Source organism: Homo sapiens, chromosome 21 (assembly GCF_000001405.40).
Source record: "Homo sapiens chromosome 21, GRCh38.p14 Primary Assembly".
Taxonomy (NCBI): domain Eukaryota; kingdom Metazoa; phylum Chordata; class Mammalia; order Primates; family Hominidae; genus Homo; species Homo sapiens.
This window is the reverse complement of record NC_000021.9, coordinates 33,614,018-33,639,798: the sequence shown is the minus strand read 5'-3', so window position 1 is coordinate 33,639,798 and position 25,781 is coordinate 33,614,018. Positions and strand designations below refer to the sequence as shown.

Below are 25,781 nucleotides of genomic sequence, written 5' to 3'. Positions count from 1 at the left end.
TATTTTACAAAAAAAAAAGTCTTCCATTTTATGCATAATAAAGACATGAAATTATTTTCTCTTGATTTTTGAATTAGTAAATATTTAATCAAAATTACAATTCATATTTTTCATTTGAAGCAAGAAGTGGTTTCTCTACAATCCTCTAGTGAACTGGAAAATTAAGCATTTACAAACTTCAATAATGTTAGTAGGTGGAAAAGAAAGTCAGTTAAATGGATTGGAGGGGAGCGAGTAACTGTTGTGTGGTAGAGTTTCGGGAGGATCCCTCAATTAGTTATTCTCATCACCAGAGGCCTCCACCTGCATTGTCCCAGAGTCACATAATTAAGCCACCTTATAAAGGGAAGACTCATTCATCACACCGTTCGCTCCCTTGTTCCCCAGTAGTACAATATAGGAAAATAAGATGCTCATTCAAAAATATAAATGAAAGTTAAGTTTCTGTTGTTCTGGATCATATTATATTAAATAGCCCTACATTGAATAGTAACTGGATCAGAGATTTTCAGATCTTTGGGATAATGACCATCCCACGTCTCCAACCCCCAGAGATATGGGTGGGGAATTGGTCATGTAAGAAACCCTAGACTCTTAAGTCAAAATGCCACCTGAAAATCAACAGATAATAAAATAAATCCCTCATGGAGGTGGGGAGGTCATCAAAAATTCTTTTGAGATCCAAAAGAGTTCTTTGTTGAGAGCCACTGTAGGCAAAAAAGAAACAATTTTCCTTTTCTGCTCCTTTATCTATCTTTAGATCTCAAGTTGCATAAGATGTAGAGATTATGCCACACATGTATAAATTCAATCGAATATGCCTTGATAATATTTATCAAGATTGTCACAATTAGAAGAGAACTAAATGGTCATTTGATCCACCTGTCCCACTCAGTTGACTCTGGAATCTGCTTTATGAAGCCTGTGTAATATGTACCCATCCTCTGTTTCAGTCCCTCTAGTGATAGGGACCATCTAATGTTACGCATTTTCCATTTAGTTTTAAGTTATAATGCCTAAAGTTCTTATATTATCAGCTGGAATTGCTTTACAAGGTTTAGCCAGATATAAGCCACTGTCACAATATCTCCTGTGCCCATCTTATATAATAACAGGCACAAAAGAGCACTGCAGTTGTGCACAGCAAAACACCCAAAACACCTGTGGACTCATTGCTAGTGCAAAGTGTCCTTTGAATATACATATTTCTAGAGACTGTTGACTATACCATGTAGAGATATCCTCAACTGTTATAACCATGCATTCACTACCCTCTTTAAGAAGCAGGCCAAGTGCAGTGGCTCACGCCTGTAATCCCAGCACTTTGGGAAGCCGAGGTGGGTGGATCAGGAGGTCAGGAGTTCGAGACCAGCCTGGCCAACATGGTGAAACCCCATCTCTACTAAAGATACAAAAAAATTAGCTGGGTGTGGTAGCGTGCGCCTGTAATCCCAGCTACTCGGGAGGCTGGGGCAGGAGAATCACTTGAAGCCGGGAGGCGGAGGTTGCAGTGAGCCAAGATTATGCAGCTGCACTCCAGCCTGGGTGACAGAGCAAAACTCCGTATCAAAAAAAAAAAAAAAAAAAAGCAGACCTGACCCATTAGGACTACCATCCTCCACACCCTGCAGAATATATTTGAGCCAAACCTCCAGCTAGTTGCTTTGATTATGGTGACTATATTCTTTTTAATCAAATATTTGGGCATATTTCTTTTTCCAATGTGTGAATATGTACAAAAAGTCTCACAGATTAATGTGAACATTGTTAAAATTTAACATTAATTCACCTTTTCCCAAATGATCAAAATATAACTGAAGATTTCCCCCTAACAATCCAGCTAGTATTATAATGCTATGCACAGGTCCCAACGATGGATGGGTAATAGGGTATTGGATACTGCCCAAGAGAGCCTGGCATGGTGACCAGGTTGAGCATACAGGGCCACATTTCAGAGTTGACTTCATCTGTTTTTCTCTTGTCTAGCTGTTTATATGTGTGTGTGTGTGTATATATATATATATATATATATATATATGTTTTTCTCTTGTGTAGCTGTTTATATATATCTTTGCTTTCCTTAAAAATGAAGGTAGGTTAGAAACATTATAACCGAACTCTGAACCTGGAGTGGCCATAGTATTATAAAGTTTGTGTTGGGGACTAATAAAAATTTGAGCATGTAAGAAGAGGAGTTTGGACTTTCAGGAATTAAATTAACCATAGGGGAATAGATGAGTTGAATGAGGGAGAGTATTGAAAGCATTTGGCAGCCTATCGCCACAGCCCGAGCCCCAGGCATTGAGGTGAAGGTGATGGGATGGATCTAAGGTACTCTTTTTTTTTTTTTTTTTGAGACAGAGTCTCGCTCTGTCGCCCAGGCTGGAGTGCAGTGGCGCGATCTCGGCTCACTGCAAGCTCCGCCTTCCGGATTCATGCCATTCTCCCTTCTCAGCCTCCCAAGTAGCTGGGACTACAGGCACCCGCCACCACGCCCGGCTAATTTTTTGTATTTTTAGTAGAGACGGGGTTTCACCGTGTTAGCCAGGATAGTCGCCATCTCCTGACCTCGTGATCCGCCCGCCTCGGCCTCCAAAAATGCTGGGATTACAGGCGTGAGCCACCGCGCCCAGCGATCTAAATTATTCTTGATGACTAGAGAGTACAGCAAAATCTTGTTTGGGGGAAAGATGAGTCCAGCTTTGTGTCTGTTAAATTTGAAGTTGGTCTGATGCTCAAAACACTTTTGGCCTGAAAGTGTAGGTAAGGAATGATTTGTAGAGGTTTTATTTACAACTAAGAATAGATGAGTTTTATACAAAAAATTAGCCGGGCGCAGTGGCGGGCGCCTGTAGTCCCAGCTACTCGGGAAGCTGAAACAGGAGAATGGCGTGAACCCCGGAGGCGGAGCTTGCAGTGAGCCGACATCGCGCCACTGCACTCTAGCCTGGGCGACAGAGTGAAACTGTCTAAAAAGAAAAAAGAATAGATGAGCTTCTTGGGGGATTGAGTGTAACAGAGGAGCAAGTGGAGTTCATGTTGCTATTATAAGAAGGATGAAACCATTTGAAACTACTTCCCATTGATTTTTTAGAAATCCCTTAACAGATCAGTATTTTTATTAACTACTTTCTTGAAGTGTTTGTAGTCAAGTGTTTAATTTATGCAAAGTTCTCGTTCTGCTTTTGCTAAAAATTATTCTAAATTGGTATTATCTCCTTAATTTTTGTTTCTCCAGATTTTTTAGTAAGTTTACTGTATGGCCAATATAAAAATTTATAGTATTACTAACATAATCCTCAGTTTGTGGATTAATTCAAACATTTTGAAATTCTGATATACCTGTAAAAGTATAAAATTTCTATGCTTTTCACAGGCTATATCAGCCTACATTTTTAAACAGGTTTATTGTAATTAAAAAGTTTTGTATGTTTAAGAGACAGGGTTTCACTCTGTTGTCCAGGCTGGAGTGCAGTGTTGATTATAGCTCAAAGCAGCCTCCAATGCCTAGATAGAACTACAGGTGAGCACCACTACGCCAGGCTTATTTATTTATTTATTGTATTTTAAGAGACAGGGTCTTGCTTTGTTGCCCAGGCTGTGGAACTCCTGGGCTGAAGCAGTCCTCCTACCCCAGCCTCCTCCCAAATTGTTGGGATGACAGGTGTGAGCCACCACTCTGGGCAAAAAGTTTTATATCATACTTTTTTGGTATAGTAAAATTTATAGTAGAACTTATAATTTTGAAGTTACATGACTTTTCTTAGAAATGTCATATTATATATTTTGTTTTATTTATTTGTTCATTTATTTATTTTTGAGACAAAGCCTCGCTGTGTTGCCAGGCTGGAGTGCAGTGGCGCGATCTCAGCTCACTGCAACCTCTGCCTCCCAGATTCAAGCGATTCTCCTGCCTCAGCCTCCCGAGTAGCTGGGACTACAGGCATACGCCACCACGCCCAGCTAATTTTTGTATTTTTAGTAGAGACAGGATTTCACCATCTTGGCCAGGATGGTCTGTATCTATTGACCTCATGATCCACCCGCCTCGGTCTCCCAAAGTTCTGGTTACAGGCGTGAGCACCATGCCCGGCCTATACATTTTAATTTATATTTTTATTTTATAAAATGTTTAATACTTTTATGGCCGGGCGCGGTGGCTCACGCCTATAATCCCAGCACTTTGGGAGGCCGAGGCAGGCGGATCACAAGGTCAGGAGATCAAGACCATCCTAGCTAACACGGTGAAACCCCGTCTGTACTAAAAAATACAAAAAAAATTTAGCCAGGTGTGGTGGTGGGCGCCTGTAGTCCCAGCTACTCCGGAGGCGGAGGCAGGAGAATGGCGTGAACCCAGGAGGCGGAGCTTGCAGTGAGCTGAGATGGCGCCACTGCACTCCAGCCTGGGCGACAGAGCGAGACTCCGTCTCAAAAAAAAAAAAAAAAAAAAAAGTTTAATACTTTTATGTCCTATGTGCAAATGTATTTTAAGTCAATACAAATTTTATTAAATAACATGAGACTTGGCAGAGTGTGAGACAAAAAACAAAAAATAAAATGAAATACAATTTTGTTACGTAATAGACTGTTTTATTTAATCTGCCTAGGAAACCATGTGGGCCTTGAATACCATCCATTCTACCATTTTCCTAGTACTAGGAACTCAGTATTCTTTTTTTGGGCTTTCAAGACAAATATTTCCTCAGTTTTCTTCTGGCTACTTTTGTAAAAACACCTCTCTTTCTTTACTTTGTAACTTTAAGGATATTTTTGTTCCCATACAATTCTCAATTGGACCAACTGAACATTACTTTTTTCCACCAACCAGGGCAATTTTCACCTAATTTAGAGAAACTATTTAGGATGATGTGACTAAAAATATTGCCATTATTTTATATATATATATATATATATATATTGTTGTTGTTGTTTGTTTTAAGGGATACTAGGGGTACAAACAAGCAGTTATCTTCCAGGGTCTTTGAAATTGGGGCACAGTCTAAGGTCCATGTGACTGCTTATCTGGGAGACATGCCATATATTTCAAGATTCAATGGGCAGAGAAAACAGTAGCTTCCAGTATCACAAAGCAAGATGCTTTGAAATCAAGGCATTGATACGTAATTGTTCCACTTCTCAAAAAGGCAATTCTAGTAACTCCAGACTGAGTAGGAACAGAGTTGTTTTTTTTTTTATTTAATAATAATGGATATATTTCCCAGGCAATGGTTGGGAAAGCCCGCTAGTTAGTAAATAAATAAAGCAAGGTTTCATTAGTGTGTAATGAAATCGGGAAGCATGGAACAAATGGAGTGAGTGTCACTGGGGATGATTCCAGAGAGGGGGTAGAACTTGAACTTTATTTACTTAGCAGAATCTAAATTACAGCATTCTGTCAGAGAACAGGCCATGCCTAGAAGCTCTGAGATGGGGTAACCATATGATGTAAAGTCATACTAACTAGATAGAGGGTATGTGCTTGGACATTGTGGAAGCAGTAAGGTAGAGTAGGGAGAGAGAGTATGCATTTTAGAGAGCCTTCAAAGGAGGTTAGATTTAATGCTGGAGGGAATACGTAAATGTTGTATCCATGCTTCGGTTCTCCCCAGCCCCCAAACAAAAACATTGACACAAAGACCTTCTGCAACCAAAGCGTTAGAATTAATCATTTAACCTAGCTTAATCCTGCTTTTATATACTTCATTGATACATGCTACATACGTAATTTCTATATATGTCTTGAATGTGTATTCATTTCTGTTAATTCCAGCGTTTGATTATCACGTCCGAGAAACCAACAACCATTGCTCAACTACACTCTGTAAAAACTCTTTACGTATTTGGATCCAAGTAGATCCACTAACATTCAACACAGAGGGCTGGCTTTATGGACATATGGCCTATGCAGTCTCACTGACCTCAGATTCAGAAGAGACTTTTGCTTGATTTCATGCTCTGCTATCTTGAAATTCTAATAATTTCTAGACAAGGCTTCCCACATTTCCATTTTGCACTAGGCTCTGCAAATTATGTAGCCAGAACTATCAATAGGTACTTAATTATTATCTTAAAGGTATTCCACTTTAGGCCGGGTGCGGTGGCTCATGCCTGTAATCCCAGCATTTCGGGAGGCCGAGGCAGACGGATCACAAGGTGAGGAGATCAAGACCATCTTGGCCAACATGGTGAAACCCCCTCTCTACTAAAAATACAAAAACTAGCCAAGTGTGGTGGCACGTGCCTATAGTCCCAACTACTCGGGTGGCTGAGGCAGGAGAATCGCTTGAACCTGGGAGATGGAGGTTGCAGTGAGCCGAGACTGCGCCCTCCAGCCTGGCGACAGAGCAAGACTCTGTTGCAAAAAAAAGAAAAAAAAAAAGTATTCAACTTTAATTGATATATCTAATGTTAGCAGCTCAGTAGGAAACCATTAAAAGCCATGGTTAGGAGTAATGACTTTGGAAGAAGTAGCACCTAGTTTATATCCCAGTTCTGGCCCAGCTGGTGCTATGAGACACCAGCTACATGCTTTAAGCTAAGACTCACTTTCCTCATTCATAGAATAAATGAAATAATAGTATTCTTACCAAAAAGTATATACAAGAATGTTTTTAACAGAACAATTCATAAGAGCCCCAAACTGGAAACAATTCAAGTGTCTGTCTATAGTGGAATGGATAAATAGCAATTTGTTTATACAGTGGAGTACTATGTAGCAATACGAATGAATGGAATACAACTACAAGTAACAACATGAGTGAGACTCACAAACCTAATATAGAAAGAAAGAAAACAGACATTAAAGAGTATAATTTTATTTATATAAAGTTCAAAAGCAGACAAAACTAATCTGTGCTGTTAAAATTTAGGATATTGGGTCTCCTTAGGAGGAGAAGGGGACACAGGGAACTTCTGGAGGTGTATGATGATGTGTCTCCTGCCATGATGTGGGCATATTCACACTGTAAAATTCAACAAGTTATGCGCTTCAAGGATTTGTGTACTTTTCTATATTTTATACTTCTGTAAAATTTGCATAAAAAATAGTCTTACCACATAATTACTCTGAAAATTAAAGAAACAATTGTGGAATCTTTAGAGATACCTCAAGAAGTTCACAGAGCCGGGCGCGGTGACTCATGCCTGTAATCCCAGCACTTTGGGAGGCCGAGGCGGGTGGATCACCTGAGATCAGGAGTTCGAGACCAGCCTGGCCAACGTGGTGAATCCCCATCTGTACTAAAAATACAAAATTTAGCCGGGCATGGTGGCGCGTGCCTGTAATCCCAGCTACTAGGGGGGCTGAGGCAGGCGGATCGCTTGAACCTGGGAAACGGAGGTTGCAGTGAGCCAAGATCGTGCCACTACACTCCAGCCTGGGCAATAGGGCGAGACTCCATCTAAAAAAAAATAAATAAATAAGTTCACAGAATATAAGTTTATTTATTTTATTTTATTATTTTTTTGAGACAGAGTTTCGCTCTTGTTCCCCAGGCTGAAGTGCAATGGCGCGATCTCGGCTCACCGCAACCTATGCTTCCCAGGTTTAAGCGGTTCTCCTGTCTCAGCCTCTTGAGTAGCTAGGATTACAGGCACGCACCGCCACACCTGGCTAATTTTTTTTTTTTTTTTTTTTTTAGTAGAGATGGGGTTTCTCCATGTCGGTCAGGCTGATCTCGAACTCCTGACCTCAGATGATCTGCCTGCCTTGGCCTCCCAAAGTGCTGGGATTACAGGCGTGAGCCACTGTGCCCGGCTATAAGTTTAAATACTTCCATTAAATGGTTTATAGACTGATACAGAAGAATTAGGGCCACAATTTTCAACCGGTGTCTTGGCTGTTCACTTTCTCCTTTTTAATGATCTTTAAGACTTCGAAAGCCTTTCATAAACGGTAATTAAAGGAAAATTTAATAAAAGGTAAATAAAATTGAGTTTCTCTGGCCATCATAAGGCTTCTTTTAAGTAATCTTTTTTATTGTATAGGAAAGTAAAATGAAGCATGTTTGCCTTTGTAGTAAAAGGTTGAACTGTAAACCCATTCTCAGTAAGACAGGTGCCCAGAGAGTGTTGCATATTCTCTTATTTGATCACTTTGTGAAAGATTTTTTAAATTTACTTATTTGAAAACTACATTTGTAGTTGTCGTTTTATCCTTTGCCAGCACTGTTTTTCCATTTTTGCTTACATTTAGTCTGGAAGACTTGTTATTTTATTTCATTTATATATATTTATTTTTAGGTGACTATGAAAGGCTTATATTTCCAACAGAGTTCCACAGATGAAGAAATAACATTTGTATTTCAAGAAAAGGTAAGAAAAAATGTTTAATCATTAAAGTAGTTAGTGTATTTTTATCTGCAATAAACCCACTTTTAAATGACGTTATTTTCAGTGAGACTTAATGAACAAAATTACTCAAATGAAACTCCTCAAATTACAGTACTTTCCTTTAAATTTTATGTGAAAATGGTGGTTCATATAGTAGTTTAACTATTTTTTAAGTTTTATTTTGTTTTTAATTGGCACATAATTGTACATATTTATGGGGTACCCTGTGATGTTTTGATTCATGTATAAATTATGTAATGATCAAATCAGGGTAATTAGCATATCTATCAGTAAAATACTTGCCATTTTGTTGTGTCATTTAAAATCCTCTCTTCTAGCTATTTTGAAATATGCAATACGTTGTTAACTATAGTCACCTTGCTGTACAATAGAACACCAGAACCTATTCCTTCCATCTACCTGTAACTTTGTACCTGTTGACCAACCTCTGTCCCCAGCTCCCACCCCTTTAATCTCCCCAGCCTCTAATAACCATTATTGGACTCTCTACGTCTATGCAATCAACTGTCTTAGATTCCATATTTGAGTGAGATCATGTAATATTTGTCATTCTGTGCTTAGCTTATTTCACTTAACACAGCGTTCTCAAGATTCATCCACATTTTCACAAATGACAGGATTTTACTCTTTTTATGGCTGAATAGTATTCTGTTGTGTATATATACCACATTTTCTTTACCCATTCATTTGTTGATGGACGCTTAGGTTGATTCCATATCTTTGCTGTTGTGAATAGTGCTGCAGTAAACATGGAGGTACAGATATCACTTTGACATATTGCTTTCATTTCCTTTGGATGTATGTATACCCAGGAGAGGGATTGTTGGATTAAATGATAGTTCTTTTTTTTTTTTTTTAATTGCGACAGAGTCTCACTCTGTTGCCCAGGCTGGAGGGCAGTGGTGCCATCCCACCTCACTGCAACCTCTGCCTCCCAGGTTCAAGTGATTCTCCTACCTCAGCCTCCTGAGTAGCTGAGATTACAGGCACGCACCATCACACCTGGCTAATTTTTGTATTTTTAGTAGAGACAGGGTTTCGCCATGTTGGCCAGGCTGGTCTCAAACCCCCGACCTCAGGTGATCCGCTCGCCTCAGCCTCCCAAAGTGCTAGGATTATAGGCATGAGCCACTGCGCCCAGCCTGGTAGTTCTATTTTTAATTTTTTGAGGAACATTCATATTTTTGTCCATAATGGCTATACTAATTTACATGACCACCAGTGGTGTATAAGAGTTTCCATTCTCCACATCCTTACCGGCATTTGTTACTTGTTGTCTTTTTGATAATAGCCATTCTAATGGGGATGAGGGGATATCTTCCTGTGGTTTTGATATCTATTTCCCTGACGGCCATGATCGAGTGGTGTTCATCCCAGGGATGCAAGGATAGTTCAACATAAGTAAATCAATAAATGTGATACATCACATTAACAGAATGAAGGACATAAACCCTCTGATCATCTCAATAGATACAGAAAAACCATATAATGAAATGTAACATCCCTTCATGATAAAAATCCTACATAAATTAGGCATAGAATGAATATACATCAATATAATAAAAGCCATGTATAACAAACCTGCAGCTAACATCATACTGAACAGGAAAAAGTTGGAAGCTTTTCCTCTAAAATCTGGAACAAGGCAAGGATGCCCACTTTCACTACTTCTATTCAACATAATAATAGAAGTCCTAGCCAGAGCAATTAGGCAAGAGAAAGAAAGAAAGAGCATTCGAATTGGAAAGAAGAAAGTCAAACCATCCCTGTTTGCAGATGACGTGATCTTATATATAGAAAACCCTACAGACTCCACCAAAAACCAGTTAGAACTAATTAATGAATCAGTAAAGTTATAGGATACGAAATAAAAAATCAGTAGGAGGCTGGGCATGGTGGCTCACGCCTGTAATCCCAGCACTTTGGGAGGCCAAGGCGGGTGGATTGCCTGAGCTCAAGAGTTCAAGACCAGCCTGGGCAACACGGTGAAACCCCATCTCTACTAAAAATACAAAAAATTAGCCGGGTGTGGTGGCGTGCGCCTCTAGTCCCAGTTACTCGGGAGGCTGAGGCAGGATCATTGCTTGAACCCAAGAGGCAGAGGTTGTAGTGAGCCAAGATTGTGCCACTGCACTACAGCCTGGGCAACAGAGCAAGACTCCATCTCCAAAAGAAAAAAAATCAGTAGCAGTTCTTTGTTGTTGTTGTTGTTGTTGTTTTTTGAGACAGGGTCTTGCGCCATCACCCACACTGGAATACAGTGGCGCAATCTGGGCTCACTGCAACCTCCCCCAGCATCAGCTCCCACCTCAGCTTCCTGAGTAACTGAGACTACAGACATGTGCCACCATGTCTGTCTGACTAACTTTTTTTTTTTTTTGGTAGAGGCAGGTTTTGCCATGTTGCCCAGGCTGGTCTCAAATTCCTGGGCTCAAGCTATCCTCCCACCTCAGCCTCCCAAAGTGCTGGAATTATAGGCGTGAGCCACCGCGCCTGGCCGAGTAGTAGTTCTCTGTAGCGACAGCAAACTATCTAAAAAAGAAATTAAAAGGCCAGGTGCCTATAATCCCAGCACTTTGGGAGACCAAGGATGGAAGATCACTTGAGCCCAGGAGTTCAAGTTCAGCCTGGGCAACATAGGGAGACCCTGTCTCTACAAAAAAAAAAATTTTTTTGAGTTAACCAGGCATGCTGGCTGACACCTGTAGTCCCAGCTACTTGGGAGGCTAAGGCGGAAGGATCACTTGAGCCCAGGAGGTCAAGGCTGCAGTGAGCCGTGATCTTGACACTGCACCCCAGTCTGGGCGACAGGGCAAGACTTGTCTCAAAAAAAAAAAAAAAAAGAAAGAAATTAAGAAGGCAACCCCATTTATAATAGCTATAAAAAATAAAATGCCCAGGAATAAATTTAACCAAGGAGGTGAAATATCTCTACGATGAAAACTATAAATATTGATGGAAGAAATTGAAGAGAACAGTAATAAGTGGAAAGATAGTCTATGTTCATTAATTGGAAGAATTAATATTGTTAAAATGTCCATACTACCCAAAGCCCTCTACAGACTCAATTCAATCCCTATCAAAATGCCAGTGGCATTATTCACAGAAATAGAAAAATAATCCTAAAAATCATATGGAACCACAAAAGACTCTGAATAGCAAAAGCCATCTTGACCAAAAGAATAAAGCTGGAGGCATTACACTACCTTACTTTAAAAAATATTTTTAAAAGAATTACTGCAAAAGAGTTTTTAGTTCCTCAGGGTGGTAGTGTAAAAGGTATTAGGAAGACAGAACAAACTTAATAGTCTTACATGTTGTGAAAGTAACCCAATGTATTCCGAATACCACAATAATGCAAGTTTCCAGAAAGTAGCCATGTTTCAGAAAAGACCTTGTCTCGGCCAGGTGCGGTGGCTTACGCCTATAATCCCAGCACTTTGGAAGGCCAAGGCAGGCAGATCATGAGGTCAGGAGATCGAGACCGTCCTGGCTAACACGGTGAAACCCTGTCTCTACTAAAAATAAAAAAAAATTAGCCAGGCGTGGTGGCATGTGCCTGTAGTCCCAGCTACTCAGGAGGCTGAGGCAGGAGAATGGTATGAACCCGGGAGGCGGAGTTTGTAGTGAGTGGAGATCACGCCACTGCACTCCAGCCTGGGCAGGAGAGCAAGACTCGGTCTCAAAAAAAAAAAAAAAAAAAAAAACCATGTCTCATATGTGAAATGGAAGAGGTAGAAAGATATTATTTTCCATACACATTTCAGAGAGTGCTGAAGTTACCTGATTTACTAAGTTTTAAATGATCACTCATATTCATATTATCACCAAGTTTTTTATTACTTTAAGCATAGATAGTAGAATTTTCATATACAGTATTGGTGATTATTAGAAAGATTTGTGGCAAGCCAAAATCATTCTTCCATAAATTTAGGGATTAAAAGTAAGTGTTATATGTAAATCAGTATTTCATAATAATTATGAGAGTTTTGATCGTGAACACAATCCAGTTTTCTCTCTTGTCTGTCACTAACTCCTAAAACATTTAGGCCAGGCACAGTGGCACACGCCTGTAATCCCAGCACTTTGGGAGGCTGAGGCAGGAGGATCACTTAAGCCCAGGAATTCAAGACCAGCCTGGGCAAAAAAGTGAGACCCCTATTTCTACCAAAAAAATTAGCTGGGCATGGTGGCACCCACCTGTGTAGGTCAAGGCTACAGTGAGCCATGTTCACACCAGAGCACTCCAGCCTGGGTGATAGAGCAAGACCCTGTCTCAAAAAAACAAGAACAATTAGGCCAGGAGTCTGTGTTTCAGACAGCTTGGCTTCTATCATTGATCAGGATGAGGGTCAGGGGTTGATTGGCTCTTGGGAAGAAACATCTCCAGGTTCACAAAATCATGAGTAAAATTCACAAACTCACCAATATTAATGAACATCTTCATATTATCACCAAGTTTTGTCAAAACTGTGATTTAAAAAGATGTTCTCAGATTGTGTTCATGACAAAACACAGTAATCCCTTTGATACATCACAGGAGGGGCTATGTAAGTGGCTATTCTTGGCTAGCTTTTCATCTAATTGTGGGCATATTGGGTAGAGGAGACTGATTTAATTATTAGTACCAGGTTCAGTTGTTTAGATGAGGTGATACTGTATTTAATAATATAGGTGGATGACATTGAGTGTCTGAATTTGGACTATTTTTGCCTTTGAATTTCTTTTCTTTTTCTTTTTTTTTTTTTTTGAGACAGGGTCTCGCTCTGTCACCCAGGCTGGAGTGCAGTGGCACAATATCAGCTCGCTGCAACCTCCACCTCCTGGGTTCAAGCAGTTCTCCTGTCTCAGCCTCCCAAGTACCTGGGACTACAGGCATGCGCAACCATGCCCAGCTATTTTTTGTATTTTTAGTAGAGACCGGGTTTCACCATGTTGGCCAGGCTGGTCTCAAACTCCTGACCTTAAGTGATCCACTTACCTCGGCCTCCCAAAGTGCTGGGATGACAGGCGTGAGCCCCCATGCCCGGCCTTGCTTTTGAATTTCTATCTAGAAGTGGAATCTGAGGGATAATTAGGTTCAATTACGTTGGTATGTTGAGCCCAGAATCCCATGGGGCATGATGAAATGCCCAAGGCACATGTTAAGGAAGAGTTGAATAAAGGACGCTAAAGAATTCCACTGGCTAGCCAGGCACAGTGGCTTACGCCTGCAATCCCAGCACTTTGGGAGGCCAAGGCAGGCAGATCACCTGAGGTCAGGAGTTCAAGACCAACCTGGCCAACATGGTGAAACCCCATCTTCTACTAAAAATACAAAAAAAAATTAGCCAGGCATAGTGGCTCATGCCTGTAATCCCAGCTACTCAGGAGGCTGAGGCAGGAGAATCACTTGAACTCGGGAGGCAGAGGTTGCAGTGAGCTGAGATTGCGCCACTGCACTCCAGCCTGGGTATCTCAAAAAAAAATGAAAAAAGAATTTCACTGGCTGGGCACAGCGGCTCATACCTGTAATCCCAGCACTTTGGAAGGCCAAGACAGGAGGATCACTTTAGCCCAGGAGCTCAAGACCAACCTGGGCAACTCAGCGAGACACCATCTCTATTTTTTTTTAATTATATTTTTAAAAAAGAATTTCACTTATAGCGTTAAGAAAATTTAAGGGCTGGGCACTATGTCTTATGCTTTTAATCCCAGCACTTTGGGAGGCTGAGGCATGAGGATTGCTTGAGCCCAGGACTTAGAGACCAGCCTGGGCAACATAGCAATACCCCAGCCCTACAAAAAAATTAAAAATCAGCTGGGTGTGGTGGTGCATGCCTGTAACCCCAGCTACTCAGAAGGCTGAGGCAGGAGGATCACTTAAGCCTTGGAGGTTGAGGCTGCAGTGAGCTGTGATTGCGCCACTGCATTCCCGCGTGGGAGACAGAGTGAGACCCTGTCTCAAAACAAAACCAACAAAAAAAGGAAATTCTAAAAATTAGTAAAGGCCTGCTGGGCGTGGTGGCTCACTCCTATAATCCCAGCACTTTGGGAGGCCGAGGCGGGCGGATCACAAGGTCAGGAGATCGAGACCATCCTGGCTAACACAGTGAAACCCCGTCTCTACTGAAAATACAAAAAATTAGCTGGGCATGGTGGCGGGTGCCTGTAATCCCAGCTACTGTGGAGGCTGAGGCAGGAGAATGGCATGAACCCGGGAGGCAGAGCTTGCAGTGAGCCGAGATCGCGCCACCGCACTCCAGCCTGGGTGACAGAGCAAGACTCTGTCTCAAAAAAAAAAAAAAATCAGTAAAGGTTATACGTTATGTGTATATGTGTTTAAGGATATCCCTGTAAATGTGAAGAGCCGGTGTTCTGAGATTATTTAGGTTGAAATAAAGGAGTACAGTATTTGCTGCTTTACTTTGTTATCCTAACTTTATTGTCTACATATATATCCATATTGTTATTTGAGTACTTTTAAAAATATGTATCCAAAAGCTTTTTTAAAATTGTACCCCCAAATTTTCTTTATTTTTTTATTATATACATTTCTATAATTACTTATAGTTGTTAAAATTAGCTGTGAGATTTAGGGTCTGTCTAATTTTGTTTAATTACATGTAAAAATTTTCACAGCATAAAGACATATTCTCATAGGAATGTGTAAAATAACATATTGTTTTGTTATCATTTGGTTCTAGGAAGATCTTCCTGTTACAGAGGATAACTTTGTGAAACTTCAAGTTAAAGCTTGTGCTCTGAGCCAGATAAATACAAAGGTATTGGTTCTTTTATTATGGCACAAAGTAAAATGAGAGTTTCTTAGTGTATTTAGTGTATAAATATAACGATAACTGACCTCTCAATGTGAAGAATTTATTACCATCTTCATTTTTGTTAATTTTTTTATTTGAGACGGAGTTTCACTCTTGTTGCCCAGGCTGGAGTGCAGTGGTGCAATCTCAGCTCACTGCAACCTCTGCCTCCTGGGTTCAAGCAATTCTCCTGTCTCAGACTCCTGAGTAGCTAGGATCACAGGAGCGCACCACCACACCCAGCTAATTTTTGTATGTTTTTTCATAAAAATGGGTTTTGCCATGTTGGCCAGGCTGGTCTCAAACTCCTGACCTCAGGGGATCCACCTGCCTCGGTCTCCCAAAGTGCTGGGATTCCAGGCATGAGCCACTGCGCCCAGCCTACCATCTTTAGAATAGAACAGCTAGGGGAAAAAATTTAGTGTGCTTTTGTATATTTCTATATAAGGGACATTATTAGTCTGATTGAAGTTACGTATTTTATATGAAAATACAAATATTTTATAAGAAAACAGACATAATGTAAATATTTTATAATATTTTATAAACTCCTTTACATTGCAAAAAACTAAGAGTTTATAATTAACAAAGCCTATTATTAAGGAAGAAATAAATAATAAAATAGAAACTAGAAACCTAATCAGTTTATTAGCTACCAATTAGATATTTAACTAATATTACTAGTTATGGTTCATATTTCTCTTGTCATTTCTTTTTGTGTCGCTCTCTCATAAACATACATCTTTACCTCACATTACCCTGCAGTAATCTTTCATTATTGACCATGAAATACATAGAATGTTTTCAGTGGTAAATAAACTGTGGTTAAATGTGCCATGATAAATTGAGCAGGTCCATTTACTCCGTTTTTTTGTTTGTTTTGTTTTATTTTTTAGGATTAATGCCATAGTTTACATGACCCGTAACTTATTGGATTATAATGTGACTATAATTTTTAGGAACCTAAAAGTCTTCTTTGATAAAGTCACACTTAGGAAATTACAGACCAGGTATAGGCTTTCACTGGGCAACTCTGTAACATGAGCATGACTTGAGAAATGCATTAGTGGGATCCCCTGAAGTCTTTTCACAAGAGTACTAGTACTAGACCTTGTCTGCAGACTTCTGTTTTCAGATGTTTTTATTAAAATGGAAAAATCCATTAAAATCCAAGTCTAAGAAATAATCTCCTTGTCTAACAGAAATAAATAGTAAATTATAGTAAAATCGGTTGAATGAAATATTGCACATCTGTTAAGCATAATGGTTATGAAAACTGTGTGGGTAATGTAAGAAAATGCTTATGGTAAGTGAAGGAGCCAGGATGCAATTGCTAAAACCATAGTTTTAACTCCATACAAATGTGCATAAAAGAAATACTGTGGCCAGGCACAGTGGCTCACACCTGTAATCCCAGCACTTTGGGAGGCCGAGGCAGGCAGATCATGAAGTCAAGAGATCAAGACCATCCTGGCCAACATGGTGAAACCCTATCTCTACTAAAAATACAAAAATTAGCTGGGCATGGTGGCACGTGCCTGTAGTCCCATCTACTCAGGAGGCTGAGGCAGGAGAATCGCTTGAACCTGGGAGGCGGAGGTTGCAGTGAGCCGAGATCACACCACTGCACTCCAGCCTGGGCGACAGAGTGAGACTCCATCTGAAAAAAAAAAAAAAAATAGAAAAGAAACACTGTAAAACACCCAGTACTTCTATAAGAATGTCATATGAACATCTTAAGAAAAGTATTATGTTCCACATTGAAAAAGAGACTTCTGACCATCAAGTATACAATACAGGAGATCAGAAAATTGAAAAATAAATATAGAAGAGAATTAATTTCTTTTTACTTACTGTTCCTAAAATATTGTGGTATCTACAAATACGTTCAGCATCTGTAGTGTTAAGTGCCAGGAGCTTAAACCACGGGCTTAAAGACAGTATACCCTGTTACTTCAAAAGACAAGTACTTACAGTTAATTTGGTCACAATCTAATAAAATACCAATCTCTTAAAAATTTAGCCTTAACCAAAAGAAACTCCAGTCACCATGAATCTGAAATTATATGGCAGATTACCTGTTAATATCCATCACTACTTCTCACCCACTCCCTAACCCAAGGCTTTTGAGAACTCAGGTGATTTTAAAGGGTATAGGAATGGAGAACCCTTTGTTCTCATTGGCCACACCCCCTTATTCAACAGTCTTCTCTCCAGACTACCCTCCCTTCACCTGAGTAAGATGACTGATAGTGTTTAGCCAATCAAGAAATGTTTTGGCCATAATTTCCCTTCATACTTGGCAGAGTAAAGATGTTAAACAAAGGATGTTAATGGTAATTTGAATAATAATATTCATTCCTAAGTCCTGCAGAACAACTAATGCCTCAGTAAATTCTTGGTTTCCTACCCTTTAGAGAAACCTATTTTGTGAAGTTATTTGCTTTGTCTCAGTTCCAAAACTTGAACCATATTTGCTCTTTCTGTGATTTGACTTTTACTCTCGCTTTCCTCATATATAATGGAGTCCAGGATTTCTTCTGACAATAGTATGTTAACTGCCTTTGTCATGATTTAGCTTCTGGCAGAAATGAAGATGAAAAAGGATTTATTTCCTGTTGGGAGAGAAATTGCTGGAATTGTATTAGATGGTAAGTATACAGATGTGAGTATATGTATTTATTTTCTAAGGTAAAAGAGATTAAATGTAGCTAATTGGTTTACTGGTACATAAAATTATATACAGCCTTTCAAATTTAAATTTAATTATATGAACATGTCCTTTTTTATTTTTATTTTTATTTTTTGAGAGACAAGGTCTCTCTGTGTTGCCCAGCCTGATCATAGCTACAGCCTTAACTCCTGGGTTCAAGCAATCCTGCTGCCTCAGCTTCCTGAGTAGCTAAGTCTACAGCAAGCTTGTCCAACCAGCATGCAGCCCAGGACAGCTTTGAAGTCAGCCCAACACAAATTCGTGAATTTTCTTAAAACATTATGTGATTTTTTGGCCAGGCGCAGTGGCTCATGCCTGTAATCCCAGCACTTTGGGAGGCTGAGGCGGGCGGATCACAAGGTCAGGAGATCGAGACCATCCTGGCTAACACGGTGAAACCCCGTCACTACTAAAAATACAAAAAATTAGCTGGGCGTGGTGGCATGCGCCTGTAGTCTCAGCTACTCGGGAGGCTGAGGCAGGAGAATGGCGTGAACCTGGGAGGCAGAGCTTGCAGTGAGCCGAGATGGCGCCACTGCACTCCAGCCTGGGCGACAAGTGCGAGACTCTGTCTCAAAAAAAAATCTATTAATTTGAAAAAAAATTACATGATGTTTTTTTTTTTTTGGTTCATCAGCTGTCATTTAGTGTTAGTGTATTGTATGTGTTGCTCAAGACAATTCTTTCTCTTCCAGTATGGCCCAGGGAAGCCAAAAGATTGGACACCCCGGCCGGGCGCGGTGGCTCACGCCTGTAATCCCAGCACTTTGGGAGGCCGAGGCGGGCGGATCACGAGGTCAGGAGATCGAGACCATCCTGGCTAACACGGTGAAACCCTGTCTCTACTAAAAATACAAAAAATTAGCCGGGCGAGGTGGCGGGCGCCTGTAGTCCCAGCTACTCGGGAGGCTGAGGCAGGAGAATGGCGTGAACCCCAGGGGGCGGAGCTGCAGTGAGCCGAGATTGCGCCACTGCACTCCAGCCTGGGCGACAGCGAGACTCCGTCTCAAAAAAAAAAAAAAAAAAAAAAAGATTGGACACCCCTGGTCTACGGGTACACGACATTATGCCTGGCTTTGTCTAGCTTCTTTGGTTTTTGTTTTGTTTTGTTTTGTTTTTGTTTTTTTTCAGAGTCTCACTCTGTCTCCCAGGCTGGAGTGCAGTGGCGTGATGTCTGCTCCACTGCAACCTCTGCCTCCCAGATTCAAGCAACTCTGCCTCAGCCTTCCAAGTAGCTGGGGCTACAGGCGCTCATCACCATGCCTGGCAAATTTTTGTATTTTTTGGTAGAGACGGGGTTTCACCATGTTGGCCAGGCTGGTCTCGAACTCCTGACCTCAAGTGATCTGCCCACATCGGCCTCCCAAAGTGCTGGGATTACAGGCATGAGCCACCATCCCTGGCCCCTTTTTTTTTTTAATTGAAAAGAAAAATAGGACTCAATTGGTATTTTATAAGTGAAGAGCTTATTACAGTGGTAAATATTTAGGGGTTATATATTTAAATCCACAAGTAATCATATATTGAATAGAATGACCAATATTGTCTTTTTATGATGAAATAATGATCTTTACATACAGAACAGTAAGCCTTATATCAGGCATTTGATATAATTTGTTTCTAAATAGACCTATACTTAATATTCACTAACAGGTGGTTCATGATTAACGTGTTTGCTTTTACCTCCTATGCGAATGAATAAATGTGTTAAGGTATGTTAGAGTATATTTGAGTTTTACCTGGGATTTTAACGTAGAATAGATTTGATACTCTATGTAATCTTCTGACATAGCTAAATGATAATTATGTTTCTTTTTTCTCAGACTGTAGAAAAATAAATACAATAACTAGATGATCATTCATTTTACATTTAATGAGCAATTGCTAACTGCTTAGGATATAAGTGAAACGAACTCCTTGCCCTTAAACGGTTCACTCTCTAGGGGAGAGACAAATATACACATGAGCAGATTATTATGTAAGCTTGGAAGAAAGTTGCTTAACCTGGCCAGAAGAAACAGGAAAGGCGTCTTGGAGTAAGATGTCCAAATCATAAGGGGCAAGCATGTTGAGAATCACACCTAGCAGGGAGGATATTATGAGCAAAGACAAGCAAGTGAAAGTGGGATGTGTATAAGAATTACAAAGAGTTTGGTATTGCTAGAGCAAGATAAAGTCCTGGGCAGGCGTCAAGGGTATGGTACTTGGTAGCAGAGAAACATTTTGTCAAGAAAATTCTCCTCCTAGGCTGGGCTTGGTGGATTACACCTGTAATCCCAGCACTTTGGGAAGCAGAGGTGAGAGGATGGCTTGAGCACAGGAGTTTGAGCCAACAGAGCAAGACCCTGTCTCAAAAGAAAAAAAAGAAAAAGAAAAAAAAATTATCCTTCGAATATTGCAGAATAAAAGATATTGTACAAAATACTTTCATGATTATGTGAACACTAATTCCTGCCTTCCTAAAATGAAGCAGGAGGATAGGCAAGGGCCAGACCTTTGGTTGAGCCTTAGATATCAGATTGTATTTTAGGGAGATTATTAGAGTAGGCATTTGAAGGAAGGGTGGATGTAAGGCAAACGAGTCTAAAGGCAAGAGGACTGGTTGGGTTGTAGACCAAGAGGCAAGAAACAGCAAAGTCCATAACCTCAACAGTGGTGGCAGAGGTGGAGAAGAGGGATGGATTCAAGACATATTGAGGAAATAAAGTCTGCAGGACCTAGTAACTGGGAAATTAAAAACAGATCAGAACCAGGAATGGCTTACAGAGTTCTTGTTCAGGCTTGAATTGGAACCAACATTTGATAAAGGAAGATGATCCAATTTGGAGGAATATTATGAGTTTAGATTTATACTTACTGAGTTCAAGGAACTTAAGTGACATCTCACTGGCAATATCTAGTAAGCAATTAAATGAGTTAAAGCTCAAGGGTGAGAGATCTATGCTGGAAAGTACATATTTGAGAAATGTCAGCATGTAGGTTGTATTTGAAATAATAGAATTGATGAGTTCTCCAAGGGATAGAGTAGAAAAGGAGGAGAGATGTAAACAAAGAACCCTTTGGAATGCACTGTTTGAGGGTCAATTAAAAGAAGAGGAGTATGAAAGAAACCAAGAAAAAAAGAGTCAGAGTGACCTTAGGAGGACAGGGATCAGCAGTAGAAGGGAAAGATAAAAGTATAGTGAATCAGAAGCCAAAAGGATTGGGGGATGATGGCACAGGAGGGAGCCAAAGAAGAAGCAAACTCCAAAAGAAAGACTTGAAAGTAGAAATACCAGGCTTCGAATTACTTGCTAGTGGCAACAAATGCACTCTGGGGCCATTTTGTTGACAGAGCCAGTCAAAGGGGCCATTTCCAGATTCAGGTTTCCAGCTTACTTCACCGCTTCATGTCAGCTTCCTTGTCTGTTAAATAGAAATAATAATACCTACCTTATTGGTACATTGTGAAGTTTAAATGCATAAACACACAACAATGCTGGGCACAAGGAGGCATTCAACAATATTTGGAGTTTTTTCCTCCCCTTTCCTCTTGTAACTCATTGAATGAAACTACTCAAATGAATTGACTGATAGTCGAGGCTTTTTCTCTACATATGCAGAGAAAATGTAACTATATCATTTCTTTTTTTTTTTTTTTTTTTTGAGACGGAGTCTCGCTCTGTCACCCAGGCTGGAGTGCAGTGGCGCAGTCTTGGCTCACTGCAAGCTCCGCCTCCCAGGTTCACGCTATCCTCCCGCCTCAGCCTCCCAAGTAGCTGGGACTATAGGCACCCACCACCACGCCCGGCTAATTTTTTGTATTTTTAGTAGAGATGGGGTTTCACCGTGTTAGCCGGGATGGTCTTGATCTCCTGACCTCGTGATCCACCCGCCTCGGCCTCCCAAAGTGCTGGGATTACAGGCGTGAGCCACCGCGCCCGGCCATCATTTCTATAAAGTTCCAGAAAACTTCTTGGTACCAACCTGAATTTATTTCCCAAATCAAAGTAATTTTAACGTCACTCTTCTTAAGGGAGGAGACCACCCCTCATCTTATGCCCAATTTCTACTTCCAAAGAAAGAGGAAGTAAAAACTAAAAGGCAGAAATGAAATCCACAGGCAGACAGCCCAGCGCCACGCCCTGGGCCTGGTTAAAGATCGACCCCTGTCCTAACCGGTTGTGTTATCTGTAGATTCCAGACATTGTATGGAAAAGCATTGTGAAAATCCCTGTCCTGTTCTGTTCCGTTCTGATTACCAGTGCATGCAGCCCCCGATCACGTACCCCCTACTTGCTCAATCGATCACGACCCTCTCACACGGACCCCCTTAGAGTTGTAAGCCCTTAAAAGGGACAGGAATTGCTCACTTGGGGAGCTCAGTTTTTGGAGACGTGAGTCTTGCCGAAGCTCCCGGCCAAATAAAGCCCTTCCTTCTTTAACTCAGTGTCTGAAGAGTTTTGTCTGCGGCTTGTCCTGCTGCATTCTCAGAATTCCCTGTTGTATGAGATTCTGCAACAAAAATAAAGACAGATTGGGCTAGCCACAGGAGGAGTAGAAAACAATATAATTATCATAGAAGCTATAGAATAGATTAGTTTCTTTACTCCTTCTTCCTTAAAGTCAGCTAAATAGAGGCCAGTCACAGTGGTTTACACCTGTAATCCTAGCACTTCGGGAGGCCAAAGCGGGTGGATCAGTTGAGGTCAGGAGTTCAAGACCAGCCTGGCCAAGGTGGTGAAACCCTGTCTCTACTAAAAATACAAAATTAGCCAGGCATGATGGTGCATGCCATTAGTCCCAGCCACTCGGGAGGCTGGGGCACAAGAATCACTTGAACCTGGGAGGTGGAGGTTGCAGTGAGCCAAGATCGTGCCACAAACTCCAGCCTGGTTGACAAGAGCAGAACTCCATCTCAAAAAAAAAATGAATAAAGTCAACTAAATAGGCAAAGAGAGAGATACTTCTCCTGGTCACAATAATCGCATGGCCCAAATATCTAGAGAATCCAGATTTGAAGTGCTGTATATCCTGTAGTCTTTACAGACCATCAAAATGTTATTGACATTTTGGTCCTTTTTTCCACATTAAACAAAATCAGTCTTTTTACAAATCCACAGATTTTAAAAATGTATTTTAATAGATAAGAATTATATTTAATAAACTTGTAATATTAACTATTAATTTTCTTCACTCTTTAGTTGGAAGCAAGGTATCATTCTTTCAACCAGATGATGAAGTAGTTGGTAAGTTATAGTTCATAGTCTTATTTCAAGTCATCTATTTTACCGTCATCTCTGTTTTTTCTATATAACTATTAATGTTCACTGTGACCTTGCTTCATATAGAAGTACTTTCCCGGCTGGGTGCTGTGGCTCACGTCTGTAATCCCAGCACGTTGGGAGGCCAAGGTGGGCGAATCACCTGAGGTCGGGAGTTCGAGACCAGCCTGACCAACATGGAGAAACCTCGTCTCTACTAAAAATACAAAATTAGCCAGGCATGGTGGCACATGCCTGTAATCCCAGCTACTCAGGAGGCTGAGGCAGGAAAATTGCTTAAACCCAGGAGGCAGAGGTTGTGGTGAGCCGAGATCACACCATTGCACTCCAGCCTGGGCAAGAAGAATGAAACTCCATCTCAAAAAAATAAAGAAAGAAAGAAATGCTTTCCTGGTTTTTGGAATTTACTGTCAAATTTCTATTGATGATAAAAATTGGGACCTTGATTGCAATAGCAGAACATTTAAAACTCACAAGAACAAAAAACCAAACACCGCATATTCTCACTCATAGGTGGGAATTGAACAATGAGATCAGATGGACACAGGAAGGGGAATATCACACTCTGGGGACTGTGGTGGGGTTGGGGGGGGGAGGGATAGCATTGGGAGATATACCTAATGCTAGATGACGAGTTAGTGGGTGCAGCGCACCAGCATGGCATATGTATACATATGTAACTAACCTGCACAATGTGCACATGTACCCTAAAACTTAAAGTATAATAAAAAATATATATATTTAGCTGTAGAACAGTTTTATAGATAAAAAGATAATCATAGTTGCTATAGTGCTTGGTGTAGCCTTTTTCTGGCAGATGCTTAGTCTGTGGCCAGACTGAAGTCTTTAGGGAGAAGGAAAGTTACAAGTCACATGCTTGAAGGCTGCTGACTGACTGGGCCATATAGAAGCTCCATGCACCGTTTCAACTGAAATCATACAGAGCTTTTCTCTTACAACTCTTGTAAAACTAAAAATTGACTTAAAACTTTTATTGTTTTTTAAAATCCACAGTATTTTTGCAATTTTGCAACCTGTGTCCTAGACAGTCACACAAACATAGGCTATGACTTTTATAGTTGCAACCTGCATCCTAGACAGTCACACAAACATAGGCTATGACTTTTATAGTAATCCTTGAAATTTTCATTTCTCTGTGGAAGACATAAAGTTAGAAAACATTTATATAACTTGTATTATATAGGGCCATATAATATATATTATGTGGTGGCTCACACCTGTAATCCTAGCACTCTGTGAGGCCAAGACAGGAAGATCACTTGAGCCCAGTAGTTCAAGACCAGCCTGGGCAACATTGCAAAAGCTCGACTCTACATAAAAAATACAAAAATTAGCCAGGCGTGGTGGCACACACCTGTGGTCCCAGCTACTCAGGAGGCTGAGGTGGGAGATCGCCTGAGCCTGGAAGTTTGAGGATGCAGTGAGCCATGATCACACCACTGTACTCCAGCCTGGTGACAGAGGGAGACCTTGTCCAAAAAAAAAAAAAAAAAAGAGAGAAAGAAAAGAAAGAAAAAATATTTAGCCTTATAGCGTTAAAATTATAGCATGCTTGAAATTCTTAAAGGATAGATTTGTAAGAAAGTTTTCATCAGCTTTTTATAGTATTGCCTTTGACTCAGGCATTATCCTGGAGAATTGATTATTTCTTTCTTGTCTTTTTATTCTGCTCAGGAAATCAGTGGCACTCTGTATTATTCAAGATTCTTTTTGTGAGAAACCAAAAACAAAATCAGACTAGCTTAGAAGAAAAATGGGATTTTATTAGAAACATACTCTGGCTGGGTGTAGTGGCTCACACCTGTAATCCCAGCACTTTGAGAGGCTGAGGTGGGTGGATCACAAGATCAGGAGTTCGAGACCAGCCTGGCCAATGTGGTGAAACTGTGTCTCTACTAATAATACAAAGATTAGCTGGGCGTGGTGGTGCACGCCTGTAATCCCAGCTACTCGGGAGGCTGAGGCAGGAGAATCGCTTGAACCCAGGAGGCGGAGGTTGCAGTGGGCTGAGATCGCGCCATTGCACTCCAGCCTAGGCAACAGAGCGAGACTCTGTCTCAAAAAAAAAGAATTGAAACATACTGAGGTATGTCATGGAACCAAACTATAGGAAGGTAGCTATGCATCAAGGACAATTTTGTTTATTTGTTTCTTAGTTTGAGACAGAATCTTGCTCTTGTCACCCAGGCTGGAGTGCAGTGGTGTAATCATGGCTCATTGCAGCCCTGAACTCCTGGACTCAAGCAGTCCTCCTGCCTCAGCCTCCTCAATAGCTAGAACTACAGGTGCATACCATGATATCCAACTAATCTTTAAATTTTTCTTCTGTAGAGATGAGGTCTCACTATGTTGACCAGGCTGGCTTTGAACTCCTGGCCTCAAGCAATCCTCCTGCCTTGGCCTCCCAAAGTGTTGGATTACAAGTGTGAACCACCATGCCCAACCCATCAGGGACAATTTTTTTTTTTTTTTTTTTTGACACAGAGTCTCGCACTGTCGGCCGGGCTGGAATGCAGTGGTGTAATCTCAGCTCACTACAACCTCCACCTCCCAGGTTCAAGCGATTCTCCTGCCTCAGCCTCCTGAGTAGCTGGGATTACAGGCGCCTGCCACTATGCCCAGCTAATTTTT

At 40.7% G+C, this 25,781-nt stretch overlaps 1 protein-coding gene across 1 annotated transcript in view; it reads left to right on the top strand.

The window, feature by feature from the left end:
• Positions 1 to 25,781, top strand: part of CRYZL1 (crystallin zeta like 1) — a 52,401-nt gene that overhangs the window by 1,943 nt on the left and 24,677 nt on the right. The window contains exons 2-5 of the mRNA NM_145858.3: positions 8,242 to 8,313; positions 15,039 to 15,116; positions 17,731 to 17,803; positions 23,049 to 23,093. Coding sequence (NP_665857.2) covers positions 8,248 to 8,313; positions 15,039 to 15,116; positions 17,731 to 17,803; positions 23,049 to 23,093 — 262 coding nt within the window. The 5' untranslated portion in view covers positions 8,242 to 8,247. The remainder of the gene's footprint in view (positions 1 to 8,241; positions 8,314 to 15,038; positions 15,117 to 17,730; positions 17,804 to 23,048; positions 23,094 to 25,781) is intronic.